This window comes from Homo sapiens, chromosome 8, assembly GCF_000001405.40.
Source record: "Homo sapiens chromosome 8, GRCh38.p14 Primary Assembly".
NCBI lineage: Eukaryota > Metazoa > Chordata > Mammalia > Primates > Hominidae > Homo > Homo sapiens.
The window spans coordinates 50,671,614-50,686,174 of NC_000008.11; the positions used below are offsets into that span (position 1 = coordinate 50,671,614).

At 34.9% G+C, this 14,561-nt stretch overlaps 1 protein-coding gene across 18 annotated transcripts in view; it reads left to right on the plus strand.

Moving 5' to 3' along the window:
• Window positions 1-14,561, plus strand: part of SNTG1 (syntrophin gamma 1) — an 886,897-nt gene that overhangs the window by 761,818 nt on the left and 110,518 nt on the right. The window lies entirely within an intron of this gene.

The window sequence follows — 14,561 nt, forward strand, 5'->3', positions numbered from 1 at the left end:
ACCATTGTGGAAGTTAGTGTGGTGATTCCTCAGAGATCTAGAACTAGAAATGCCATTTGACCCAGCAATCCCATTCCTAGGTATATACCCAAAGGACTATAAATCATGCTGCTATAAAGACACATGCACACGTATGTTTATTGCGGCACTATTCACAATAGCAAAGACTTGGAACCAAGCCAAATGTGCAACAATCATAGACTGGATTAAGAAAATGTGGCACATATACACCATGGAATATTATGCAGCCATAAAAAATGATGAGTTCATGTCCTTTGTAGGGACATGGATGAAATTGGAAATCATCATTCTCAGTAAACTATCGCAAGGACAAAAAACTAAACACCACATGTTCTCACTCACAGATGGGAATTGAACAATGAGAACACATGGACACAGGAAGGGGAACATCACACTCTGGGGACTGTTGTGGGGTGGGGGGAGGGGGGAGGGATAGCATTAGGAGATATATCTAATGCTAAATGACAAGTTAATGGGTGCAGCACAGCAGCATGGCACATGTATACATATGTAACTAACCTGCACATTGTGCACATGTACCCTAAAACTTAAAGTATAATAATAATAAAAAAAAATGTCTGGATCAAATGGTATTTCTGATGCTAGATCCTTGAGGAATTGCCACATTGTGTTCCAAAATGGTTGAACTAATTTACATTCTCACCAACAGTGTAAAAGTATTCCTATTTCTCCACAGTCTCTCCACCATCTATTGTTTCTTAACTTTTTAATAATCACCATTCTAACTAGCATGAGATGGTATCTCATTGTGGTTAGATTTGCATTTCTGTAATGATCAGTGATCTTGAGTATTTTTTTTCACATGTTTTTGGCCACATAAAAGTCTTCTCTTGAGAAGTGCCTGTTCATATCCTCTGCACACTTTTTGATGGGGTTGTTTGTTTTTTTTCTTGTAAATTTGTTTAAGTTCCTTGTAAATTCTAGATATTAGACCTTTGTCAGATGGGTAGGTTGCAAAAGTTTTCTCCAATTCTGTAGGTGGCCTGTTCACTCTGATGATAGTTTATTTTGCTGTGCAGAAGCTCTTTAGTTTAATTAGATCTCATTTATCAATCTTGGCTTTTGTTGCAATTGCTTTTTGCATTTTTGACATGAATTCTTGGCTTATCCCTATGTCCTGAATGATATTGCCTAGGTTTTCTTCTAGGGTTTTTATGATTTTGGGTTTTACATTTAAGTGTTTAATCTATATTGAGTTAATTTTTGTTTAAGGTGTAAGGAAGTAGTCCAGTTTCACTTTTCTGCAAATGGCTCACCAGTTTTCCCAGCATCATTTATTAAATAGGGAATCCTTTTCCCATGCTTGTTTTTGTCAGGTTTGTCGAAGATCAGACAGTTATAGATGTGTAGTATTATTTCTGAAGTCTCTGTTCTGTTCCATTGCCTGTTTTGATACCAGTACCATGCTGTTTTGGTTACTGTAGCCTTGTAGTATAGTTTGAAGTCAGGCAGCCTGATGCCTCCAACTTCATTCTTTTTCCTTAGGATTGTCTTGGCTATAGAGGGTCTCCTTTGATTTCACATGAAATTTGAAGTAGTTTTTCCTAATTTTGTGAAGAATGTCAATGATAGTTGGATGGGAATAGCATTGAATCTATAAATTAATTTGGGCATTGTGGCCATTTTCATGATATTGATTCTTCTTATCCATGAGGATGGAATATTTTTCCATTTGTTTGTGTCCTCTCTTATTTCCTTGAGCAGTGGTTTGTAGTTCTCCTTGATGAGGTCCTTCACATCCCTGTTAGCTGTATTTCTAGGTATTTTATTCTCTTTGTAGCCATTGTGAATGGGAGTTCATTCATGATTTGGCTCTCTGCTTGTCTATTGTTGGTGTAAAGGAATGCCTGTGATTTTTGCAAATGGATTTTGTATGTTGAGACTTTGCTGAAGTTGCTTATGAGTTTAAGGAATTTTTTGGCTGGGATGATTGGGTTTTCTAAATATAGAAATATGTCATCTGCAAAAAGAGACAATTTGACTGCCTCTCTTCCTATCTGAATACGCTTTATTTCTTTCTCTTGCCTGATTGCCCTGGCCAGAATTTCCAATACTATGTTGAATAGGAGTGGTGAGAGAGGGCATCCTTGTCTCATACCGGTATTCAAAGGGAATGCTTCCAGCTTTTGCCCATTCAATATTATATCTGTTGTGGGTTTGTCACAAATAGCTCTGATTATTTTGAGATATGTTCCATCAATACCTAGTTTATTGAGAGTTTTTAACATGAAGTGATGTTGAATTTTATCAAAGGCCTTCTCTGCATCTATTGAGATTATCACGTGTTTTCTGTCATTGGTTCTGTCAATGTGATGAACACATTTATTGATTTAGGTATGTTGAACCAGCTTTGCATCCCAGGGATGAAGCTGACTTGATCATGGTGGGTAAGTTTTTTGATGTGCTGCTGGATTCGGTTTGCCAGTATTTTATTGAAGATTTCACATCAATATTCATCAGGGATATTAGCCTGAAGTTTTGTTTTTTTATTGTGTCTCTTTCCAGTTTTGGTATTAGGATTACACTGGCTTCATAAAATGAGTTAAGGAGGAGTCCCTCCTTTTGGATTGTTTGGAATAGTTTCAGAAGGAATGGTACCAGCTCCTTTTTGTACCTCTGGTAGAATTCAGCTGTGAATTTCCCTGGTCCTGGGCTTTTTTTGGTTGGTAGGCTATTAATTACTGCCTCAATTTCAGAACTTGTTATTGGTCTATTCAGGGATTAGACTTTTCCTGATTTAGTCTTGGGAGGGTGTATGTGTCCAGGAATTTATTTATTTTTCTAGATTTTCTAGTTTATTTGTGTAGAGGTATTTATAGTATTCTCTGATGGTAGTTTGTATTTCTCTGGGGTCAGTAGTGATATCCCCTTTAACCTTTTTTTGTTGTGTTTATTTGATTCTACTCTCTTTTCTTCTTAGTTTAGCTAGCAGTCTATCTATTTTGTTTTTTCAAAAAACCAGCACCTGGATTTATTGATTTTTGGAGGGATTTTGTGTCTCTATCTCCTTCAATTCTGCTCTGACCTGAGTTATTTCTTGTCTTCTGCTAACTATTGAATTAGTTTGCTCTTGCCTCTCTAGCTCTTTTAATTGTGATGTTAGGGTGTAGATTTGAGATCTTTCTAGCTTTCTGATGTGGGCATTTAGTGCTATAAGTTTCCCTCTAAACACTGGTTTAGCTATGTCCCAGAGATTCTTGTACATTGCACCTTTGTTCTCATTTGTTTTGAAGAACTTCTTGATTTCTGCTTTAATTTCATTATTTAACCAGGAGTCATTAAGTAGCAGTTTGTTCAGTTTCCATGTAATTGTGTGTGTTTGAGTGAGTTTCTTAATCCTGAGTTCTAATTTTATTGCAGTATGGTCTAAGAGACTGTTTGTTATGATTTCAGTTCTTTTGCATTTTCTCATGAGTGTCTTACTTCCACTTATGTGGTTGATTTTATAATAAATGCCAAGTGGCATTCAGAATAATGTATTTTCTGCTGATTTGGGGTGGAGAGTTCTGTAGATGTCTATTAGGTCCACTTGATCTAGAGCTGAGTTCAAGTCCTGAATATCCTTGTTAATTTTCTCTCATTCATCTTTCTAATATTGACAACTGGGTGTTAAAGTCTCCTATTATTATGTGGCAGTCTAAGTTTCTTTGTAGGTCTCTAAGAACTTGATTTATGAATCTGGATGCTCCTCTATTGGGTGCATATATATTTAGGATAGTTAGCTCTTCTTGTTGCATTGATCCCTTTATCATTATGTAATGCTCTTCTTTGTCTTTTTAAATCTTTGTTGGTTTAAAGTCTGTTTTTTCAGAGACTAGGATTGCAACCCCTACTTTTTTTTTTCCATCTCCTTGGTAAATTTTCTTCCATCCCTTTATTCTGAGCCTATGTGTGTCTTTGCACATGAGATGGTTCTCCTGAATACAGCACACTGATGGGTCTTGACTCTTTATCCAATTTGCCAATCTGTGTCTTTTAATTGGGGCATTTTGCCCAGTTACATTTAAGGTTGGTATTATTATATGTGAATTTGATCCTGTCATCATGATGTTATCTGATTATTTTGGCCATTAGTTGATGCAGTTTCTTCATAGTGTCATTGGTCTTTATATTTTGGTGTGTTTTTGCAGTGGCTGGTACCCGTTTTTCCTTTCCATATTTTGTGCTTCTTTTGGGAGCTCTTGTGAGGCAGGCCTGGTGGTAACGAAATCTCTCAGCATTTGCTTGTCTAGAAAGGATTTTATTTCTCCTTTGTTTATGAAGCTTAGTTTGACTGGATATGTAACAATGTTGAATATTGGTTCCCAATCTCTTATGGCTTGTAGAATTTCTGCTGAGAGATCCACTGTTAGTCTGATGGGCTTCCTTTTGTAAGTGACCTGGCCTTTCTCTCTGGCTGCCCTTAGCAGTTTTTCCTTCATTTCAACCTTGGAAAATCTAATGATTATGTGTCTTGGGGTATATCTTCTCATAGAGTATCTTAGTGTTGTTCTCTGCATTTCCTGAATTTGCATGGTGGCCTTTCTTGCTAGATTGGGGAAGTTCTCCTGGATATTATCTTGAAGTGTGTTTTTCAGCTTGTTTCCATTCTCCCTGTCTCCTTCAGGTACTCCAGGTTTGGACTTTTTATGAAGTCCCATATTTCTCAGAGGCTTTGTTCATTCCTTTTCATTCATTTTTCTCTGGTTTTTTCTGTATGGCTTATTTCAGCAAGGTGGTCTCCAAACAATGATATCCTTTCTTCCATTTGGTTGACTTGGCTATTGATGCTTGTGTATGCTTCACAAAGTTCTCGTGCTGTGTTACGCAGCACCATCAGTTCATTTGTGTGTATGTTCTTCTCTAAACTGGTTACTCTAGTTAACAGTTCCTCTAACCTTTTATCAAGGTTTTTAGCTTCTTTGCATTGTGTTAAAACATGCTCCTTTAGCTCAACATACCGTTTCTGATTCTTTTAGTTTTTTCTTATCTAGTGACACCTATTTATTATCTTTCTCACACTATTGTTTTTAAATAATGTCATTTGCACTCCATTTTTTTTGACAGGTGTGAGTAAAGCATAGTTTTCTCAAAATATTTTTAAATAATTTCATATTATTCTGTAATTTATCTTATAATTCTCAAAATGTTTGTTTATTCTTTTGTTTAAAAAGTTATATTCTCACTATTTTTTAAAGATATTTCTAAAACAATGCAAGATTATTATTTAGGTCAAATAAGTATTTATCAGCAATGTGATTTGGTAATAGAAAGATTCAGTCACTTTATCTCATTAAGAATTTAATATGTACACAAAAGCTATCTAATTCTGTTTTCCAATATTTGGAGTGAAAAAAATTCACACATATACAAAATAAACCAACATCTTATATTTATCTCTCTCAAAATATATTTTTGGGGTATTATTTCCTCATTAAAGTGAGTCTAAAAGCAATATATTTATGAATGATTATGGATTTCCATGTTGCAGAAATTTGTTCCCCTTTAAGCTGAGTCAGAAGATAATCCAAATATACTGAAAATAAGCACTGGAAAAGCATAGCTGTTTTAAATCCTAACATTTTAATTTACTGTAGTAATTTTAATAAAAATGTGAGAGTACATCTATATTAGGAAAATCTACCTATCATATGCAAATAAATCTTTATGAATTGTGAATAAATCGAATGCTTAAAAATATTATGTTTAATAATGACATCTTCCATAATAATATCTGGTTAGTAAAATTTTATATGGACACCCATAACATAACATATCCTTAATGTAAGAAAAAAGCTAGAAAATGGGTTTTGTTGCACAAATAATTTGGTGCCAATCTCAAGGATTCATCCCTTAGAATGAGAATTACTTTTAATGCTCTATTTAGCTTAAATTCCTTCAGGTCTATTTCAGGTTTTTCCATAACCTTTCTAGACTTAATTTGTTTAGATTTCTGTTTACAGAAATGTTCTGCCTTGCAAATTTACATAGTATATGATTGTAAAACTGTTTGACCTTCCAAAACCTTATATTACTGTTTTAAAAGTAAAAATATAATTTTAATGTCAGAAGAAGCCCAGATGTCATCTCCTTCTGAAGCCTTCATCCACTAAGAAATATTATGGAAAAGTTTTCCAGTGGCCTTCAAATTGATTTAGAATATATTTTTAATGATACAGTGGCATAGATAGTTTGCAGTGCCAGTTTTCAATACATCATTTCACTACTAATGAAATTAACAATATTTTAACTGTCATGCATTATTTTATTAACAATAATAATATTGTTCTTAATGAGAACACATGAACAAAGGGAGGGGAACAACATACACCAGGGCGTGTGGGGAGAGGAGGGCAAGGGGAGGGAATTTAGTGGACTGATCAATAGGTGCAGCAAACCACCATGTCACATGTATACCTATGTAACAAACCTGCACTTTCTGCACATGTATCCCGGAACTTAAAGTAAAATTTAGAAAAAAAGAAAGAAAAGAAAAGAATAATAATAATAGTGTTCTTGCTATTTGTGCTATTTTTTTTTTAGAATAATATCAAAATCTATTATTAACATTGTTTCTTATGGAAACTCAGCAGCATATATCAAACATTCTCTACCTCCTGTTACTTAACCTTTGCATATTTTAAATAATTGAATTGATATGTTCTATTGCTCAACATTCATTTTTAGTAAAAGTAGAGAAAGTGAAGATTACAGATATGCTCAGCAGTAACTGCTGAAATCCATAAGCACCCAACTTTTCTGGACCAAGTTGCTCTGTGTTCTTACTATATCCAGACAAGTCCTATTTCTGGAAAATGTGGTTGGACAGGGCTGTAATGTTTACAAGTGTGTCAACATATTTATATTGTTTGAAATGGATTTGGAGCAAGTCAAGTTTTTGAATATTTAAGGAACATATCTACTTGATTTACTAACCGTAAGTTATACAATTTCATTTTTATTTGTTTTTGCCCTTCCAGCTTGGGGACTTTAAAATTTTGTCCATACATGATTGAAGGAATGTTCAGCCAAACTTTATCTGAAATATTTCCTATTAACTCATATTTATGTAAATAATAAAATTAGAAGCATGCAAAATTTACCTTTGGGATTATATCCCATAACTGGCTCTTGTCAAAATTGACGTTGTTCATAATTTTTTGTAAAACTATTGAGAAAATTTTTTATAGTGTTCCAATTCATTGTGATGAAGAGTAGTTGAGAGAGAAATAATGCACTCCTGTGGTATGTTTTCTTTTCCAAGGATATATCTAAAGATATAGATAAATAAACACATACATACACAACTATATGTGTATATGTGTGTTTTATCATTGTGTCTTGGAGGTATTGGTTAAAATGGTTTTTAAATAATAGCTACATTTTTGATAGTTTTTAAATCAAAACATGGAATAATATTCAATTTTGCTGTAGTATTATTACAATATAATCTATTAACTGTTTGCACTGGATAACAGCCTGTGGGCTTCATAGAAACTAAGACAAGTTTTCTGACTTTATTCATGGCTACCATTTATTTCTGGAAATAATCTTATTTTTGTTTCTGTAAATGCATTTATACTTCAGTTATTCATTATGTACTAAGTATTACTTAGTTGTTGTATGTCTAATTAACATGGATTACTGAATTAGTTGGTCAAGAGAAAGAGTAGTGATGTGTTAATAGAATGAACTAGCCTGATGTTACCTGAACTTGAATTCTGGCCCAATTAATATCAACAATATCTCAATGGTATATTATCTTAAGTATCTTCAGAATCCTTACCTTTAAATCAGGAATTATAATTATAGCCACATTATGGGGTTACTATTATCAATAAGTCTGTTTAAACTAGTCACTTTGTAAGCATTCAATACATGTTAGTGATTTCTGACTCTAAATTGCTTGTGGAATAAATGCTACCCTTGAAGTGATATCAGTCATGCTAACAATGGCAATTCCCTTATTTTTTATCCAGTGTCATTCTCACTTTTTCTGAATAATATAACTTTCTGGCAATTCTGAAGACTTAGATTTATTTTACCTTAGTCCAAATAGGCATTAGAATAAGTTGTCCTCCCAGGCTTGGAATCAGGGAACTGTCTTCTGAGCAAGTGCTTGCTTGACACTAAGAGGATGGATTTATTTCTCTGGTGGTGAGATGACATTTGATCATATTTGTAACTTTTGAAGATTGCTTTTCTCTGGGCATGGTATGAACTCAATTACAACTACATACAGTATGTAAAGGAAATTGAGAGAGGGTCAAGATCAGAAATAAGGCTACTACTCAGTGGTAGGTAATATGCAGAAACCTGTATTTGGGCAAGGGGACCTTACCTGGCCTCCCTTGGGCCTTCTGTTGCATGGAATCAAGAGCAGAAATGGACATATAGCCTTGGCCTGTTAACCCTTAGAGTTCTCCTCTTTCTCCACTGCCCTCAGTCACCAGAAGTCTTCTGAGGATACTAATTGACTCCATCATGTACAATTCCTAAAACTTGCTGAATCATCTGCTTATGTTGTATGTCAGTGGGAGAAAGAGGCCAGTCATGCAGTGCAGATAGCTTCTTCAAAAAGGATAGTGTATGTGACAGGCAATTTTATTGTAAAAACTTGCTTAATAAAACAATTCAAACAGAATGAATAAGATAGTATTATATAGTATTATCCTTTGTCCACATTCTCACACTGAATTTGCAAATCCTGTCAGGACTGTTTGTTCAGTACACTCTTTATGGGCTTCAGCCTCTTGACTTAGGGGCATATAGCTGATGAAGCTGTAGTTGGTCGATACCAATTATGTGAATGGGATCAAAACACCAAGAATGCAATTTTCAATTTTTCTCATTGGACTTTAAGTGTTGTTCTTAGTAGGCATCATTTTCAGATTCTTTTTCTGCTTGGAGAGGTTTTAAGCTTGCACACATTGAAATGTATGAGAGCAAAGTGCTACAAACTAGAGCACAGTTACAAAATGGTAGTGGCTCTGTCTACCATTTCTACCAACACCCTTCGGAGGCAGTCTATCTCTATTGTTTTCCATTGTTTACCAGCCCCTAATCTGACCAATGGTCCTCAAGCGCAACATCCTAGGGCTCTGGTGACGTGGAAGCATTGGGCTGCGGCCCTGGAATGAGAATAAAGGTGAGACCAGATCCAGGTATGTGCTCGCAGCTCCAACCAGCTTAAAGACTTGCAGACAGTAAATGACCCGCAGGTAAGCAGCCTTCCCATCTGCATTGGGAATCCATCCCAATGACTCTGAGAACAGGTGTTTATTCGCTACAGTAATGTGAAAACACAATGTAAATAAAACTAAACAAATACTTAAATTTCGTTTGGTTTATCTTCTCCCTTATACTTTTGTTTTAGGAGAAATGCTTTCAAGTAAAAAAAAGTCATACTCATCTCAACAAAAGATTAAATGCCATAGAAAATATTTACTAATTGATCTGATAATTTTTGAACTAATATAATAAATTATAGACATTAAAATTTTATCAAATTTGAGTGCAGAAATAATAACCTATTTTGGCCAGAATACCAATTTGCTTTGTATTTACATAAGATTGGAATTATGCAGGTTACATGCTTATGTTTTTTTGATGTTGAAATATTAACTAATACATTGAACATTATAGAGGATATAGTTTTTTTTTAAATGTCATTTATGGAAGAGAATTACATACAAAAGGAGAGAGGGATGTGTTTTATTACATATATAAATAATGGCTCTGAGATACACCATGCTCAATCATTTTCATAATCCATTTTTCCAGTAATGTTAAGTAAATAAAAACATATTTCATTAGGGTATATGTACACATCGCATAATTTTATATAGTTTAAAACTATTCATTGTTATTTGTAGTTCTTATACATAATACATAACCTGTTTACTATTTAACTGAAATGTGTAAAACTGACAACAATGCTATTTTTGGATTGTGAGAAGAAATTTATTTTTGAAGTATTTTTTGAGTGTTGTACTATTTTGTAAAACAACGAGAGAGGAGGACCGAAAGCCTCAGAATGAGCCAGCAATGCTAAGAATTCTTTGTCAAAACTCACTTTTTAGGAATTCCCAACCTATTTCCAACTGCCTTGCATTAAATGCCATTTATATGCCAATGATTCTAAATTTATTCAGAGCTCTCCCTTGCATTTCAAACAAATACTTTTAGTGCCTTCTGGATGATTCCATGTGGATGCCTAATGAATACCTCAAATACAACCAACACAACATGTCCTCTGACTCTGCAGACACACACCTCAGTCAAGAGATGTTCTGACTTTTCAGTTGCTCTTGCCCAAGACCTTGGAGTCACTCCTGAAATGTTTTATCATGACCCATATCTGACACATCAGCAAAACATATCTGGAACCACTGTTGTGACACTGGTGTTAGAAACAAATGCTTGTTCCTTGGTACCAAAAAGAAGAAATAGCACTTGAACATAAATTTAATTTTCTCGGCAAGACAATCTTTACTTCTATAGAAGGGTGTGACTTGCAGATGGAGTAAAGGTGAGGGCACACATGGACAGGGAGGGTAAGGGGTTCTTATTCCTGATGTAGGTAGTCCCTACTGCTGTGTCATTCCCCTATTGGCTAGGGTTGGACCCCACAGTGTAAGCTAATTCTTATTGGCTATTTTAAAGAGAGCAGGGATACAAGCTGGAGTGGCGGGGTGGGTAGTTTGGTGGGAAGGGCAGTTACAGAACAGGTGACTCAGGATGATTCAGGTCAGAGCAGGTGACCAGAGGTGACTCAGGTCAAAGCAGGTGACCAGGGGAACAGATGTGAACTACTGATTAGAGCTGGTGGGAAAGTTGTGAAACTAGAAGCAAGGGGTCAAAGAGGACAAGGAAGTTAAACTTTAAAATAGAGAATCAAAGAATAAGAGAGCTGAACATACTGACACACTGATTCCTTGAAGAGAAACTTGGAGTTCACTATATCTAACACTGGTTATCCTCAGCCCTCAACTGTGTCAGTCTCACATTTCCCACCTGGTTCCCACTTTGACCTTTGCCTCCTATCAGTTTCCAGTTTGACTCCAAGTAAAATACAAAGTTCTCAGGGCCCTCTGTAAGATCTGTCCCCCAACACCCTCAGGCATGCCCTATCTGCTCTAGTCTTTTGCTACCCACCCAATAACTCAGACCAATTCCACTGTTCTGTTTAGGCATACACAAGCCTGAGGTCCTTTGAATTTGTTGCCTTCCTCTCCAAATAGCTTAAATAGTTTACTCTTTTACTTCACGCCTATTTTCAAATGTCACCTCCTGAAGATCATTTTTCCTATTATGCTTTATAAATGGCAATGCCCCAAAGGATAGTACTCCCTACTGCATTTAACCAGTTTTATCATTGCCTGACATATTATGATTAAGCATTTTCTTATTTGCTTTATGGTTTGTCTTGGTCCCACTCAAACCAAAGCTCCACGAGGGAGAGATGTCATCTGTTTTGCTTAGTGCTATGTCCCCACACTGGAACAGCGCCTGGCACACAGCAGGCTTGCAATCCATTTTTTGGTTGAATGCCTACTATGGATATTTCTGTAGCCCCCAAATAAAACACTTTCTGAAATAGTAGTGAGTAGTGAGAACTTTGCTTGAAAATATTTCCCCGTTGAAAGTTATTTGTATTTGCTTAAAAGAAAGAAATAACTATAGGCATGTATGGGGTGGGGGTAAGGGGAAGACAGTATCTAATGGGACTGGGATGGAATGAACATTCTTTAGTCCTGAGTCATTCTTTAGAAGAGGACTCAGAAGCCAGGCCAAAGATGATATCATCCATATTAATGAGCACTAATTGAACAGTTTGGCCAAAAACTTCCCCTTTATCTGACAAAATGTGCAGGACTAATTGAACACATTTTATGAGAGGTTTTGCTGCCAGATACCATTTCCCACAAAGATCTGCAATTTTTACATCTCCCTAGGCAAGATACTAATACAGTATACTAGGGTATATAAATAGGAGAGCAATTTCAAGTGACACAAGTATTCCCTTTATATCCCATGGTGGCCAGATCCATATGAGTCCATTCTGCTACTTTATGGCTTTTACTACTTGAGGGATTTAGGAAAAGTGGAATAAGTTGCAGTGGAGGGACACTAAGATAATTAAATAGCTAAAACGTAGCACCTGTGAGGAAGGTCCAGTCATTTGCTTCATTTGATTTTATAAAGAGAAAGCTGAAAGGTGATTTCATAATTGTCCTCAAGGATATAAAAGGTTACTTTTCAAAAAGTGGTGACCACCTGTTTTTAATCACAATTGAAGAAAGATTAGGAAAAAAATTGGTATAAGCTGCTATGTGAGGATAAAGTTTTCAAAAAGGAAGACTGGAACATTGAAGAACAGATTCTACATACAAATTATTAAAGATTAAGAACTGTAATTTCATTCTTAGTAGACATTTAAGTGTGGGTTTGTTTGAATTATTTTTTGGAGGCAGGGCCAAATGACCAACCATAATTCCTACTGTTTGTGACCCTCTGATATCCCCACTTACATAAACAAGTAGTATTTCCCCCTCACTGGATAGCTATTTCTCTGGAAAACCACATGCTCTCTGCCTGTGTGTTTTCTAAACATGAATTTGAGAACGTTTTTTATTATGATACAATTAGTCTCAGAGATAGAATATTAGAGTTCAAATCTGGAAGATGAATCTTAGAACTATTAATCCTGGTTTGGATTAATCTCACTAAGCAATTTTGAAAGTAATCTATTCAACAATATTACAAGAAATTAATTTTGTTTTGTGTGTCTCTTGTTTGTTTGCTTTTCTGGTTCTAGGAATGCTAATTTATGGTAGTAAAGCTTCTTTCTGTTTCAATAATAATGTCTTAGGGAAAATTCTGTCTGATGTCAATCAAAAAAATAATGAAAACTGATTTAAGTATATTAAATTAAAAATTCAAGAATGCAAATAAAATACAATGATAAAAAGGGTTTTAATGATAATTACATTCTACATATGATCTATCCATATTTTAAGAAATTATCATATAAAAAAGTATTTTCCCTTTGAAGTTGCACAACATTTTTCTTTTTTTTTGTTTTTGTTTTTGTTTTTTTTTTCTTTTTTTTTATTATACTTTATCTTTTAGGGTACATGTGCTCATTGTACAGGTTAGTTACATATGTATATATGTGCCATGCTGGTGCGCTGCACCCACTAACTCGTCATCTACCATTAGGCGTATCTCCCAATGCTATCCCTCCCCCCTCCCCCCACCCCACCACAGTCCCCAGAGTGTGATATTCCCCTTCCTGTGTCCATGTGATCTCATTGTTCAATTTTCCATATGTGCTACTTACCTTTACTCAAATTCACCTTTTTCTTACTTAAAAAAAAAATAGAGCTTCACTTCTCCAAGCCCAGTGGAAAGCTAAATCTAAGACTTATTAAGTTAGTGAAGGAAATTAAGCCATGACGTGTAGATAGATTTAACAAATAAATCAGTAAGGATGCTATAAACAAAGGGGCATGTTAGAAGAACAAGAGCATGGTTGTGGTCAATGTATTCTCTGCTTATGACAAACATAGGAAAATAACCTTGCTTTTCCTCCAAGAGATTGGTTAATGTATTTGTTTCTGAATGAGGTAAATGCTAGTGACATGAGAGACGCTGCTAGAAAGAACTATGCCATTTAAACTACCAGTCCTCCAGGGTAATAATGGTGTCCAGGAGTTTATCCATTATCTACCTTATATAAGCCCCTTTGCCTCCATAGATTTCCAAGCCTAAAATTGCTAATCTTTGAATATGTTTTCTAACTCTGATAATACAAAAAACTGTGGATGGTGGTTATATTTTTTAAAAAACATATTTTACCTGTAAATTTCAGAATCTCTGAGTTTTCAATATTTGAACTTGTTTGTCATTTGGTCTTTTCAAACCTTAATTTTTTCAAAGGCAGAGTGGAAAATGAAATAATTTCCATAAAAACATTTCATAATATAAATCATATTCTTCAAATAGAAAATATTATTATTAACAGGAACAATAAATACATATCTATAGAGATCAGTATTTGTATTTATACAGCTATTTTAAGCTGTCACTGAATTCAGACACTTTTGTGGGCACACACACACACATACAGCACATGATCTCTAGAGAATGGAGGAAGAGTCAGATTTATCTATGTAGTACACAATTCTGGTGAGCATGTTTTCATTTCAGTGTTAATACTGTTAGCTAATTGTGTTAAAGATGAAGTCTTCTTTTCTCTGCCTTATATATATTGTATTCTACCATGCAATATCACACTGTGTTATAGAGACATGTGTGTGTGTGTGTTCTTGGGTGCACGGGTACCAAACATGTACGGGATTCAGTGTTAGTTAGATATGCTCTAGTTTTGTAGTAGTAGTCTATTTCAATTATGGTAAATGTTACAATTATTAGTCACATTATGAGATATTAGAAATATTATGGACTACTTAATATGTTCAAGTCACTTTTTCTAAGTGATATACATCAATCAATTCTTTTAATATTCACAGGAA